Below are 13,981 nucleotides of genomic sequence, written 5' to 3'. Positions count from 1 at the left end.
TTTCTAAAATTTTATGTAAATAGAATATATATGTATATATAGATGTACTTTTTGATTCTAGCTTCTTTCACTCATCATGACATTTTCATGTATGTTGCATGTATCAGTAGTCCATTCCTTTTTATTGCTGAATAGCATTCCATTGTACATATATATGTATACCCCTTTTTTAATGTATCCATTGATGAACATTTAGATAACTTCTAACATTTAGTTAAATACAAATAATTTTGATCTAAGCATTCATAAACAGGTCTGTATATGAACACTGGGTTTCATTTTCTTTGGTAAATACTTAGGAGAATTGATGGATCATATGGTAATTATATGTCTAACTGTATAAGACACTGCCAAAGAGTTTTGCAAAGTGATTGTGCCATTTTACATACCCTTGGGTAGAGTGTATGTTCTAGTTGCACCCCCATTCTCACCAATACTTGGTATTGTTAGTCTTGTTAAAATTTTAGTTTAAATAGATATACGGTACTATCTCATGGTTTTAATCAGCATTCCCTCTAAAGGTGAATGACGTTGAGCATCTTTTCGTGGGTATATGTGCTATTTATATATCTTCTTTTGTGACATAACTGTTTAAATACATATGCCTATATTTAAGTTGGGCAGTTTGACTTGTTATTAATGAATTGCAATTGTTCATTGTATATTCTAAATGTTTTGTCATATATATGTGTTATGAATATTTTCTTTCAATCTGTAAGTCTTTTTTATTTCCTTAATAGTGTCTTCTTAGGAAAAAAACATTTTTAATTTTGATAAAGATATTTATCAGTTTTCTATTTTATGTTTCATTTGTTCATGCATATTATCTAAGAAATCTTTACATAACCCAAGGTCAGAAAAATTTTTCTCATATGTTTTCTTCTAGAAATCCCACAGATTTAGCTTTGCTTTAGGTCTATCATCTATTTTATGTTAATTTTTGTGTGTGGTGTGAGAGGATGGCTGTTCATTTGTCATATGGGCATCCAGTTCTTCCAGCAGCATTTGTTGAAAAGGCTATTTTATGCTACCTTCTAAATTCTTCTGTACAATGTGAATTTTCTAGTACTAGTCAAACTTCATTTTTAAAAAGGGTTCAGCAATATTATTAATAATTTATATCCATTTTGCTATAAATATCATATTCTATTAGTAAAAAGCATTCATCCCTTGCCTTTTGGGAGCCTCTTTTTAAAACCCAAATTTATTGAGGCATAATTTACAAAGAATGAACTGTATCTTTTAGTGAGCATCACTGTTAGAAGTAGAGAAAAAGTGAAATCCAATGATTATTTGCTAGGTTCCATCTCTGTCTTGTCCCTATTTCTAGCCAGTGAATGTTATTGACCACCTACTTTGTGTCATGTGCTGTGTTAGGAATGAGACAAAAATAAGAAACTATTTCTTGGAAGTTCTCACTTAGGGAGAAAGGCATAAAATCACATCATGTGTAATCTAGTCAATGCTGTAATAAAGGTTTTGAAAAAATATATTGGCAATTAAAGAGGAAGGAAGTTAACTTCCTAGGGAAGTTAGAGAACACTTCACAAAGGTGGTGCCATTTGAATTAGGTTATCTTTATTACAATCCTTTTTGTCTTCCTTCAAAAAAGAAATTCATTTCATATATTAATGTTTACTTTATTAAGCTGAACATTTGAGTGCTTGCAATCTCTGGATCACAAAACGTAATGAAGAGATGTGCCTTAAATAAAAGGGGAAATGTGTATGATTTACCTAATAGACCTTCCCTTATAGATGAGTCATTTTACCGATACAGTCACTAGAGGTAGCCTCACCAAAGTGTAAACATTTTGTCTTGGGCCAAACAAATGCGCTTCCCATGACAAAGAGGATGGATATGAAAGGAAACAGCACGGATTTGAGAGGCCTGGAGCTGGGGATCCCATTTAATGAGCAGAGATACATAGAAATAGTAATGCCTACTATTTACTTAGCATTCACCATGTGCCAAGCATCCTAAATGCTTTGCTGAATTCTCACAACAACCTTATGAGAGTTTTGCACAGGGATAAACTGAGGCAAGAAATGTTAAGGCACCTATGGTAGATTATTCTTCAAAAATATCCACTTTCTCTTCCTCTCCCTTCCCCATCCCACTGATGTTTTGTTTGGTCATGTGACTGGCTTTGGCCTCCTAGTGGACAGAGTGTACTTTTCTATCCCTTTATTAAGAAAGACTTTGGGCTTGTCCATGTGATTTGCTTTGTCCAATAGGATGTTAGTGGAGATGACACAGGCAGCCTTGAAACAATGCATGCAGCAATGGGTTCTCCCCTTAGGCCTCTGCCATCACTGAAAGAAGAACCTGCTCTAGATAGCCTACTCGTCAAAAGAGATGAAAGACAGGTGGAGTAGATTTGGAACCAACTTGTAACTTAGAGCACAGCCTGGCCTTGTAACCACAAACAAGCGAGAGAGAATACACAGTTGATTGTTCTTTATTACACTAAGTTTTAGGGTGCTGTATTATTCAGCCACCTAAGTGGCAGAAAGGATTTGAGCGCTGGCAATATAGGTACAACTTCTGCACCACATTGCTACTAATACAAGAGATAATTAGCTATATTCAGACACCCAAGTAAAACTAATCAGTTGATGAATGAAGAACAGGTCTGTAACTCAGAAGAAAGTTATAGGTCTGGAATTAAGATAGTGTCTATGAACTAATGATCTAAACCTTGACAAATCATTTTAATCTCTCTGTGCTTTCTTTACAAGAGTATTGTAAAAAAATAATAATAAAGTAATGGCCATAGAAGTTCTTTGAAAATGTTAAAAGTGTTATGCATGTGCAAGATTTTTTAAAAGTCTGTTTTGTTTTCTGCTGTATCCTCAGTGCCTAGAATTGTGCAGGCCGTGTAGCAGGTGTTCAGCAAACATTTGTGAAATTAAATTGAAATTAATTTTTTAAAAATAGTGTCTTCAGCTCACAAATAACAAAACACAAAGTATGTTTATAATTAGGGAAGTAACTAACTTTCATTCTTGACAATAATTGGGTAAAAAGCCCAGGAAGTTGCTTCCTCTTACTCCTGTGTCTGACAGAGAGAGGGTGTTTGTTTCCTACCTTTACTATCTGAACAATGTTCTGTAAATCCTAACCTTAAATGAGATAGTTGTTGCAGTCTTATATTAGCAGGCTTCTTGTCTAGAGTGTTTTATTAGTGGGCAGCTATTTGATTTTAATATTTGTTCTGCAGTTTAAAAAAATTGAGCTTCATTTATAAAAATCCAGATAGTCCAGAATCTGGCCAAACAGTCATCTGGATTGGAAAGTTAGGTCACTGTGTTAGGAAGAAAAGGTCCATTTATCCTTTTTCCTTCTTTGTTTACCATAAAGCAAGATATAGTCTAATGAGATATCTTACTTTTAAGACATTTTCATTTAATTCACTATGATTCAGATGAGGGCTATGGTTAGAGTTTTGTTCCTCACATCAAATTGCAGAAAAAAATCACACTAGAGATGTTATTTAACTTATTCTACTTTCTATTATAGCATAGCCTGCCTTTTTATCTCAAAACGTCTCTGATGATTTCCTGAGAACATTTTCAGTGGTGTAGTTAAAGGGTTATTTCAGCTCCAAACTTTCTTGTTAAAATGTTAAACTGGAACATTTGAACAATATTGCATCACTGACATGAAACTGACTAACAATCTGGAAGCAATAAATTTTGCTTAAGTATCCTTCATTGTCGTGAGTGCTTCATCCTGTGACAGATATTCTCTAGTGAGAGTTTCGGGTAAAACTCCTTCTGTCTCAGCTAAAATTTTTAAATAGCTACTGAACAATTTCTGGCCTCCAGTTAATATGTGCTAGTAATACAATCTATCAGTGTCATGAGTATATTAAAAATTACGGACTAAACACACAATATTGAAAGAATAAAAGGAAAAGATCAATCATCTCATTTTTGCTATAGATTTTCATAATGATTTCTTTATTTCTTGAATATGTATTTTATCTGCCAAATGACCATATGTTGGCAACTCTTGACTTAGAAAATATATAAGATAATAGAAGAGAAATAAATAACAGAAATATAAATATAATTCATATCCTGGATTTCTTAGCAGGATCTACAGTGTTATTATTTTTCTTTCTTTTATATAAAGATGGGGTCTCACTATGTAACTATTTTCCCCAAGCTGGTCTCAAACTCCTGGGCTCAAGGGATTACTCCACTCCCCTACCCTCCACACAAACCATCTCACCTCACCTCAGCCTCCCAAAGTTTTCGGATTACAGGAGCATGAGCCACTGCACCTGGACAGGATCCAGAGTATTAAAGCTCATTTTACCTTATTAATCAAAGCTTACCTAATTTTATGTCCCTCGGACTCCAGACGAAACTGAAGCTAAATGGGAAAAATTTAGCACTATAGTAGGTAAATAAATCTTTTAAACAAGAAAAAAAAACAATTGGTCAAGTTTCTATAATATGAGAAAGATACCAAGAGGAAAGGGTTTTTTTTTTTTTTTTGCAATCTAATAGAAACAAATGTTTTAATTAAAAAAAAATCTAAATCCAAAGTTGCAGAAACTCAAACACTTTGGACACACTCTTAATATCTTCCTCTCATTTTTGCCTAATATCAATTTCTTCATCAAGTTATTTCAATTGTATACCCTATATTTCTTTCCAGTCACTTCATTTCCTCCATTTATATTGCTTTCACCTATTCTTGTATTCTTCTAATCTCTACAGTACAACCTGAGTGATTTTCATTATAAAAAATAAAACATATGAATATAACTCTGATACCTAACACCAGTCATTGCTCTTAGGATAAAGGCCAAAACCTTTAGTATGGTCTGTAGGCCCTACAATGTCTGCATTAAGTCCTCTGTTTTCCAGTCACTCTGATTTTCTTTCAGAAACTTAGAACAAACCAAGTTTCTTCTTGCCTCAGGGCCTTCAAGCATGTCTCACCTGGCTGGGCACAGTGGCTCATGCCTGTAATCCCAACACTTTGGGAGGCCAAGGCAGGTAGATCATCTGAGGTCAGGGGTTCGAGACCAGCATGCCCAACATGGCAAAACCCTGTCTCTACTAAAAATACAAAAATTGTGGTGGCACAAGTCTGTAATCCCAGCTACTCTGGAGGTTGAGGCATGAGAATGGCTTGAACCCGGGAGGTGGAGGTTGCAGTAAGATGAGATCGTGCCATTGCACTCCAGCCTAGGCAACAGAGTGAAACTCTGTCTCAAAACAAACAAAAGCAAAAACAAAAAACAAAATTCATGTCCCACCTTCTGTCTAAAAGACTACATGGGCCAGGCATGGTGGCTCACGCCTATAATCCCAGCACTTTGGGAGGCGAAGGCGGGCAGATCACCTGAGGTCAGGAGTTCCAGACCAGTCTGGCCAACATGGTGAAACCTTGTCTCTACTAAAAATACAAAAATTAGCTGGGTGTGGTGGCTGGCACCTGTAATCACAGCTGCTCGGGAGGCTGAGGCAGGAGAATCACTTGAATCTGGGAGGCAAAGCATGCAGTGAGCTGAGATCACGCTACTGCACTCCAACTTGGGCAGCAGAGTAAGACTCCGTCTCAAAAAAAAAAAAAAACACTATATGTATGTGTGTGTGCATATATATATATATATATATAGAGAGAGAGAGAGAGAGAGAGAATTATGTATATTATATATATTTAAAGTATTTGTTAAAATTATCAAACATATATTAACAATATATGTGAAACCTTGTTCCATCTATAGCACCAACAATCCCACCCCAACCCTAAATAATTTTGACGCCAATCCCAGACATACTATGAAATACTCTCCAACTCACGCTGATTTTTTTTTTTTTTTTTTTTTTTTTTTTTGAGACGGAGTCTCATTCTGTCACCCAGGCTGGAGTGCAGGGGCGCCATCTCGGCTCACTGCAAGCTCCGCCTCCCAGGTTCACGCCATTCTCCTGCCTCAGCCTCCCGAGTAGCTGGGGCTACAGGCGCCCGCCACCACGCCCGGCTAATTTTTTTTTTTTGTATTTTTAGTAGAGACGGGGTTTCACCATGTTGGCCAGGATGGTCTGGATCTCCTGACCTCGTGATCTGCCTGCCTTGGCCTCATGCTGATCTTTAAGATGCCTGCTTAAGCTCTATTTGCTTCTCTCCTCCCTCTGCCAGACTAGGTCGTATTGGCACCCTAAAACTTTTACTTCATAAAAATTATTTCAGCATGGATTTTATGTTCCTTTGTGTGGTTTTTGGGTTAATATCTATCTTCTCCCCTAAACTTCATGTTCCATGAGGGACAAATTGTGTCTATTTTGCTTTATCATTCTGTCCCTCCATATATCAGTGTGCCTGGCTCAGAGTGAATTCTTAAATATCTGATGAATTAAGTTGTGGGGATTTCCATAATAGAATTCCTTATATGTTGCTGCTTTCTTAACATTCTCGATGGTCTTTTAACTGATATCAGAATACTTCCTGAACACAGCCCCTGCCCTGTGGTACCTTCAGTCTCTCCAAAGAGAGACTCACATCATCCTTTGATTTCCTCTGAAGCATCTGATAAGGTATTATTTTTCCAATAGATGCTGTTGGTCTATTTTTTTTTATTGTTTATTTTTGAGACGGAGTCTTGCTCTGTTGCCCAGGCTGGAGTGCAGTGGTGCCATCTCGGCTCACTGCAACCTCTGCCTCCCGGGTTCAAGTGATTCTCCTGCCTTAGCCTCCTGAGTAGCTGGGATTACAGACGCCTGCCACCATGCCTGGCTAATTTTTGTATTTTTAGTAGAGATGAGGTTTCGCCATGTTGGCCAGGCTGGTCTCAAACTGCTGACCTCAGGTGATCCACTCACCTCAGTCTTCCAAAGTGCTGGGATTACAGGTGCGAGCCACCGCGCCCCACCTGTTTGTCTATTTTTTAAATGAATGGGCAAACCAAGCTTATCAGTAATGTTCATCTTCTTAATTAATCTGTTTAATTCTCATTGGCTTTTTCTTATATATCATAAAACTATTTTCCTCCTCTGAATATAGAATGAACTTGTCAAAGAAAGTAGTCTGTGGGAAGGCACTATTGATGTAAATGTTTATTATGTATCATGGGATACCAACTTTATGATCAAAGGAGTCTAAAAATAATTAGTCAAAAGGTTGATGGATCATCTTAATGAAAATGGTTAAGGAAATTACTTAATTTTAGTTTCTTAATTTTCATTTTTTACTCTAAATTTAATGAATCTGATTTTTGCTGTATGATTTTATTTGCATAAACCCCAATACTATTTCAACTTGCTTTATTTCTTATTTAAATTTTTTAAAAGACCAGTATATTTTGCTGACAGAAAATGTAGCTTAAACATATGAAAGTTCTTGGCAATAACTACTCACTAGGTTTTGCAATCTGCAGTATAATGCTATATAGGATTCTCTTACTAGTACTTCATAATGCCTACTAATCGATTCAAATTTTACTGCAAAATTGGATAGCATCATTTTAGATTAAGAGATATAATGATTGTGCCATTCAGAAAGTGGCACTGTTCACAGGGAGAAAACATTCTAAGCAACTGAAAGACAAATGTATAAAATTAAATACGTCTCGAAATCACAGCAGTAAATATTTCATTGTAGATTTTCATGTGTTTATGTGATGAAGATTTGGCTCCTGCCTTGGATACATCTATGATGTATGATACCTGTATCATTGCCTTTCATGACTCCAAATATTTTCTTTCATGATCATGCTTTTCGGTGTCACCTACATTACAAAATGTTTCTATTCCTTTGACATAGATTGTTCATCTTAAAAATAAAGGATTATGTAACCAGTTTTTAAGCACTCTACGTATTAGATCTGTTTATGAAGAGTAATCAAACAGGAAATGAAATATTGCTTCTCCTGACTATATCACCCTATATTAGAAATATATAATTAACATATCTTAAATTACCTTTCCCTCACTGGATAAATAACCTTGTTAGGTACAAAAATTATTGAGTTAATTCCTCTACAGTTCTTCGACATTTGAAAGGAAGTGCTTGCATGTAATGTCATTTCTAATTTCCATGAAATTGGATGTTTTGAAGGACTTTTAAAGAGTACTATTGACCTTGGTAAAAATTGATACTGTATATAATTCAATTTCTTCATTTGTCTAATATGGTATGTGCAAGATGGCTCTTCTTCAGAAAATGTCAGTTGAAATGAGAAATTTAATTATTTTTTTCGCCTATACTTGGCAACTAGATCTGGAACAAAGATACTTTAGCAATTGTATGATATGTGAGGAAAAGTTTCTTAAGAGTTTCTGATTAAACTTACATTGTCAGCTGCCCAACATAAGACTTATTAAAGATTAAACTCTAACCCCTTCTTTTAACCACGTTTGTAATAGATGTACCATAGCACCAAGTATCTGACCAGATTAAATTAAAGATACAGCACCATCTTATGGATGTTTCTATATTTGTAAAATTTGGGAATACAAAAATTATTTTGAGTTTGGGAATGGAAAACTATCAGCAAAAAATGTTGTGGGAGGAGAATATTTTAATATATAAGGGAAAAATTGTGCAGTATTAAATAACTCCTGTGTGTGTATGTGCATGTATATGTGTGTACATGTGTTATTTGTGATAGCATGGTAAGTAAAGGCACTAACAGAGATTTGTAATTATTTTTTCATTTGAAAATTAAGAATTCCACCAAAAAGGAAAATAAACTTTTATTACAATACAAATGCATAATTTTGTGAAATAAGACATTTGGCTAAGAATACTATCAATCTCTATAGGACAATGGGACATCACTATGTATCACCTTGCAAGGATGATCAGGGAAATACTGATAAATAGAAATGTTCTTAGTAGCCATGGGGCACTTCCCAAAGAGTGCTCAGAAATGTAGATATGATAATAAACCTATTTAATTATCTACGGAAACTGTGTAACTGGTAATAAAGTCTCCTGATATTCAATCTAGTATTTAATTATTTTTATAAGTAATTTATGCTCATTATTATTTAATTTTATACAAAGATATTTTAAAATAAAAATTTCCCTAACAATCTTTGTTATTTTAATGTAGAACACATAGCTAGTTTAAGGTGGTTAAAGGGAAATTGATGGGGCCAGGCGCGGTGGCTCACGTCTGTAATCCCAACACTTTGGGAGGCCGAGTTGGGCGGATCACAAAGTCAGGAGTTCGAGACCAGACTGGCCAAAGTGGTGAAACCCCGTCTCTACTTAAAAAAATACAAAAAATTAGCTGGGCATGGTGGTGTGCGCCTGTAATCCCAGCTACTCAGGAGGCTAAGGCAGGAGAATTGCTTGAACCCGGGAGGCAGAGGTTGCAGTGAGCCAAGATCGCACCACTGCACTCCAGCGTGGGTGACAGAGCAAGACTCTGTCTCAAAAAAAAAAAAAGAAAAATTGATGGACAAAACTCCTCAGTGAATTATTAAGGCATAGTTATATATGTGTGTTTAATATCCTTAATCTTTAGTTCACCTTAATTATCAGATATGGACCTCAGGAACTACATGATTTATCTAGGTCATACAGTGTAGATTACCTCATTTTAACTAAAATGCATATACCGTGGCTCCTATCTTTTTGATGTCTTGGACCCCATGATACAAATTTTGAATCCTTTATTTAGAAAAAAGGCCATCAGTATGACACATTTCATATAGGAGTTTCACATAGGGGTCCCCAACCCCCAGGCCTCAGACACGTACTAGTTGGTGGCGTGTTAGGAACCAGGCCTCACAGAAGGAGGTGAGTGGCAGGTGAGCAAGTGAAACTTCAACTGTATTTACAGCCATTCCCCATCTCCTGCATTAGCACCTGAGCTCTGCCTCCTGTCAGATCAGTGGCAGCATTACATTCTCATAGGGGGCACACCCTATTGCGAGCTGCACATGTGAGAGATCTAGATTGCGCATTCCTTATGAGAATCTAATGCCTGATGATCTGTCATTGTGTCCCATCACCCCTAGATGGGACCATCCAGTTGCAGGAAGACAAGCTCAGGGCTCCCACTAATTCTACATTGCGGTGAGTTGTATAACTATTTCATTATATATTACAATGCAATAATAATAGAAATAAAGTGTACAATAAATATAATGTGCTTGAATCCTTCCCAAACCATCCCTGCCCCCACCGTCTGTGGAAAAATTGTCTTCGGTGAAGCTGGTCCCTGGTGCCAAAAAAAAGATTGGGGACTACTGGACTAGAGCTCATACATGCTTTATGGTTTTAAGTAGTATTCTCCTTTTTTTGTTAAACTATATTTCCTCTGGTCATAGTTTTGATTAATAGAAGCCAAGGGCTTAATTATAAAGATATGAACAGTCTTCTTGGGATGGAAAGGACCTGTCATTTTTTTCAAATACACACTCTTTCTCATACACACACACATGTACACACACACACACCCCTACTTGTTTTTGACTCATTCTCCCCCACAACTAAATTATATATTAATAAAAAGAGCAGTATAAATAAAAGTGTTCTTACAAATTTATTTTTATATAGATTATTTTTATGATACTATAGAGAGAGATGTAAAAATATGATATTTACTACAAACAACAATATAGAATTTTTGGCTTTATCCTCACATGATAATACAGGTTCTAATCATGTTTCATTAGGAGTTATATTCTATATAATGTATATTTGACTCTAAATTTCTAAATTTTGTTTCAAATATAAAATTGTCACAAATTTAATAAAATTAAGTGCTTCCCAGATATCCATACTAAAAGGAAAAAAATAAAGTTGAAAAATTCTAATTATGCCATATATGTATTTTTATGTTCAGTTCTCAGAGGTAGATAGGCAATTTTTAGCTTAATGAGAAATTTAGGGAAATTTCAGATGTATGATAAAAGCATAATGTTTAAATTCAGATCCAAGGCACTATATTATTAAATGAAAAATTTCAGATTATCAAATTCAGAACTATAGGTAAAATTTTTGTTTATTAATATTGTAGAATAATATTGTTAATTGAATCAATGCTTTTATAATAAAGAGCCGATTACATTAAAATTCACTTAAAAATTAGATAGCTGGTCATTTAAACTAGGAATGAAAACATTTTCAGAGTCTGTATCTTTAAGTGTAATTAGATCCACTAGCTTTATTTGCTCAACATAGTAAAATACCTACTTTATCCTTAAATCAGGCTGACAGAATATTTAAGAGTAAATATTTGCTCAGTAATAACAATGTGTTAGTTGTTCAATGGCAAGATTAAAGACATAACTCTGAAGACTGGGTTTCTCAAAATGTCATCCTCAAATCCCTGGGGGTCATTGAGACCCTTTCGGGGGAGTCTACAAAGTGAAACTGTTTTCATAAGAATATTAAGACATTATTGTCTTTTTTGCTGTGTCGACATTGTATTGATGGCACAAAGGCATTGGTGGTAAAACTGCTGGTGCCTTAGAATGAATCAAGACCTTGGCACAAAAATGTGATAGTCATCATGTGTTATTGACTGGTACACACTCACAGGAAACAAAAATGTCAGTTTCACTTAGGAATGTTCCTGGTTTAGCAGGAAAAATTATTAATTTTGTTAAATCTCAATGTTTGGGTATATTTTATTTTATTCTGAGACAGGGTCTCACTCCGTCACCCAGGCTGGAGAGCAGTGGTGCTATCAGGCTCACTGCAGCCTCCACCTCCTGGGCTCAGGTGATTCTCCCACCTCAGCTTTCCGAGTAGCTGGGACTACAGGTGCACACCACCATACCTGGCTAATTTTTTGTATTTTTTTAATAGAGAAAGAGTTTCACCATGTTGCCCAGTCTGATTAAAAATTTAAAATATATATATTTTGCGAGTCAAAAATGGGAAGTATGGATAAAGCGCTTCTTGTCACCTAATGAAGTACAATGGTTGTATCAAGGAGAAGTACCTTTTTGAGTTGCAAGCTGAACTAGCTGTTTCTTCATGGAACCCCATTTTTACTTGAGAAAACAACTGACAGACAAATTATAATTATTCAGACGTGGATATTCTGCAGAATTTTTCTCAAAAGTGCATGCATAAAGCAAGGTTGTCACTTTAAGGAAAATAACTGGCAGTATTGTTGACAGTGACAAAATTCAAGCTATCAAGCAAAAATTAAAATTTTGTAAAACTTGTATGTGCCACAGTGAGCTTGACAGTCTTCCAATAGACTATTCTTAAGAGATTAGTGGTTACTGACAATGTGATTTTTTTATACTATTTAATAAAATGTGTCAAACTTTGAAAGATCTATATAACTCAGTGAACCAGTATTTTCCCACTGACCAATAAATAGTATTACAAAATAATGCATAGGTAAAAAATTAATTCAAGATAGACTAGTAGATTTTTTAAAATATCACAGAATAAGAAGAGTTTATTGATATGGTTTTCCATTCTACATCATACCTAACATTTAAGAAACTACCACTTGTTGACTTTTGGTATAATACCAAAGAAGAACGTCCACAATTATATTCAAAGACTATTAAAATACTCCTCCATTTTTTAACTATATAGCTATGTGATGTCAAGTTTTCTACATCTATTTCAGTCAAAATAATATATTAAAACAGATTGAATGTGGGAGCAGATATGAGAATCCAGATGAATTCTATTAAACCAGACATTAAAGAGATTTTTAGAGTATAAAAATAGTACCAATTTCTCACCCAACCTTTAATTTGGAAATATAATAGTTTTTTTCATAAAAATATATAACTTATATAATAAGTGTTATTTTAAAATAAACTAATAAATAGCTATTTCTAACTTTTCTTAGCTTTATTTTCTAATATAAGAAACACTGATAAATATAACCACACCAAAAAAGTTATCTGCGGTCATTAATAACTTTTAAGGGTGAAAATGGGTCCAAAGAACAAAACATTTGATAATAATTATAGCCTAGAGTAACAGCAAATAGTTAATAAAGGCACATCTTTCTTTTTACCACATAATATCATTTTTACTAGTCTTACAATTTTTGCATAAAACTCTATTTCACTTTAGTTGAATTTTCTTGAGCATTATTGTTAAAATGGTGTAAGTTATTTTACAGTAGTAGAATTTTCATCTCTTAAGTGAGACATTGGTTGAATTCCTAGTCAATCAATGCAACTCTCTCTTTACAACGTTCTAGTGTAGTGCTTAATTTAGATTAGGCAGGCACTCAATACATGTTATTGACTGGCAGAAAATGTGTTTAACAACAAAGTCAATATAAGTATAAAAATCTATGAAAGCTGGAGGGAAAAAAAAGCCTCTGGCTATTTATTGCTTTATCCAAGTATGAGCATAATTTCTATGTTCTATCCATTGCCATAAAAATTTCACATAGTTTATGGATTTGTTAACATTTTAAAAACCCAAACATTCTCTTCTGGGCTAAATATTTGCTTCTCTGGTGATCATAATAACCACTAAATACATATCTTGAATTGATGCAAGACTTTTCTTTGACACTTTGAACACAGGCCACAATGTGCTTTTACACTCCCTTCCTCCCTGCACTTTACAAGCCAACTCATTTCTGTTCATTTTCTTCAAATTTCTCATAACATAGAAAATTAAAGAATAATAGAACTGTAATCAGTCTCTAATGAATGCCCATAGATTGAATAGGAACAAAAGGATGGTAGCTTCTTATTTGGGGTCAAGTCTTCTTATAAAAATTATGAAATCTCCGATATCAAGATATTGTAACATCTGGGAGTTAGTCTGATTCTTTACAGGTTAATGATAATAGCAATACAGACTCTGAGTTATATAAAATCCAATAAATAAATGCATAGAACAATTTGCAACTTTATTTACATTTGGTTTCTATAGCTTTATGGCCCAAAGTGAGCTTAATAATAAAGTGATTACTGTATAATAGTAAAATATTTGGCATGAACTGAGAACTTACTCTATACCAGTACTTTGTACGCATTATCAAGTATTTTAAGTACTTCGTATGCAT

Source organism: Homo sapiens, chromosome 7 (assembly GCF_000001405.40).
Source record: "Homo sapiens chromosome 7, GRCh38.p14 Primary Assembly".
Lineage (NCBI taxonomy): Eukaryota > Metazoa > Chordata > Mammalia > Primates > Hominidae > Homo > Homo sapiens.
Note: the sequence above shows the minus strand (reverse complement) of the source record.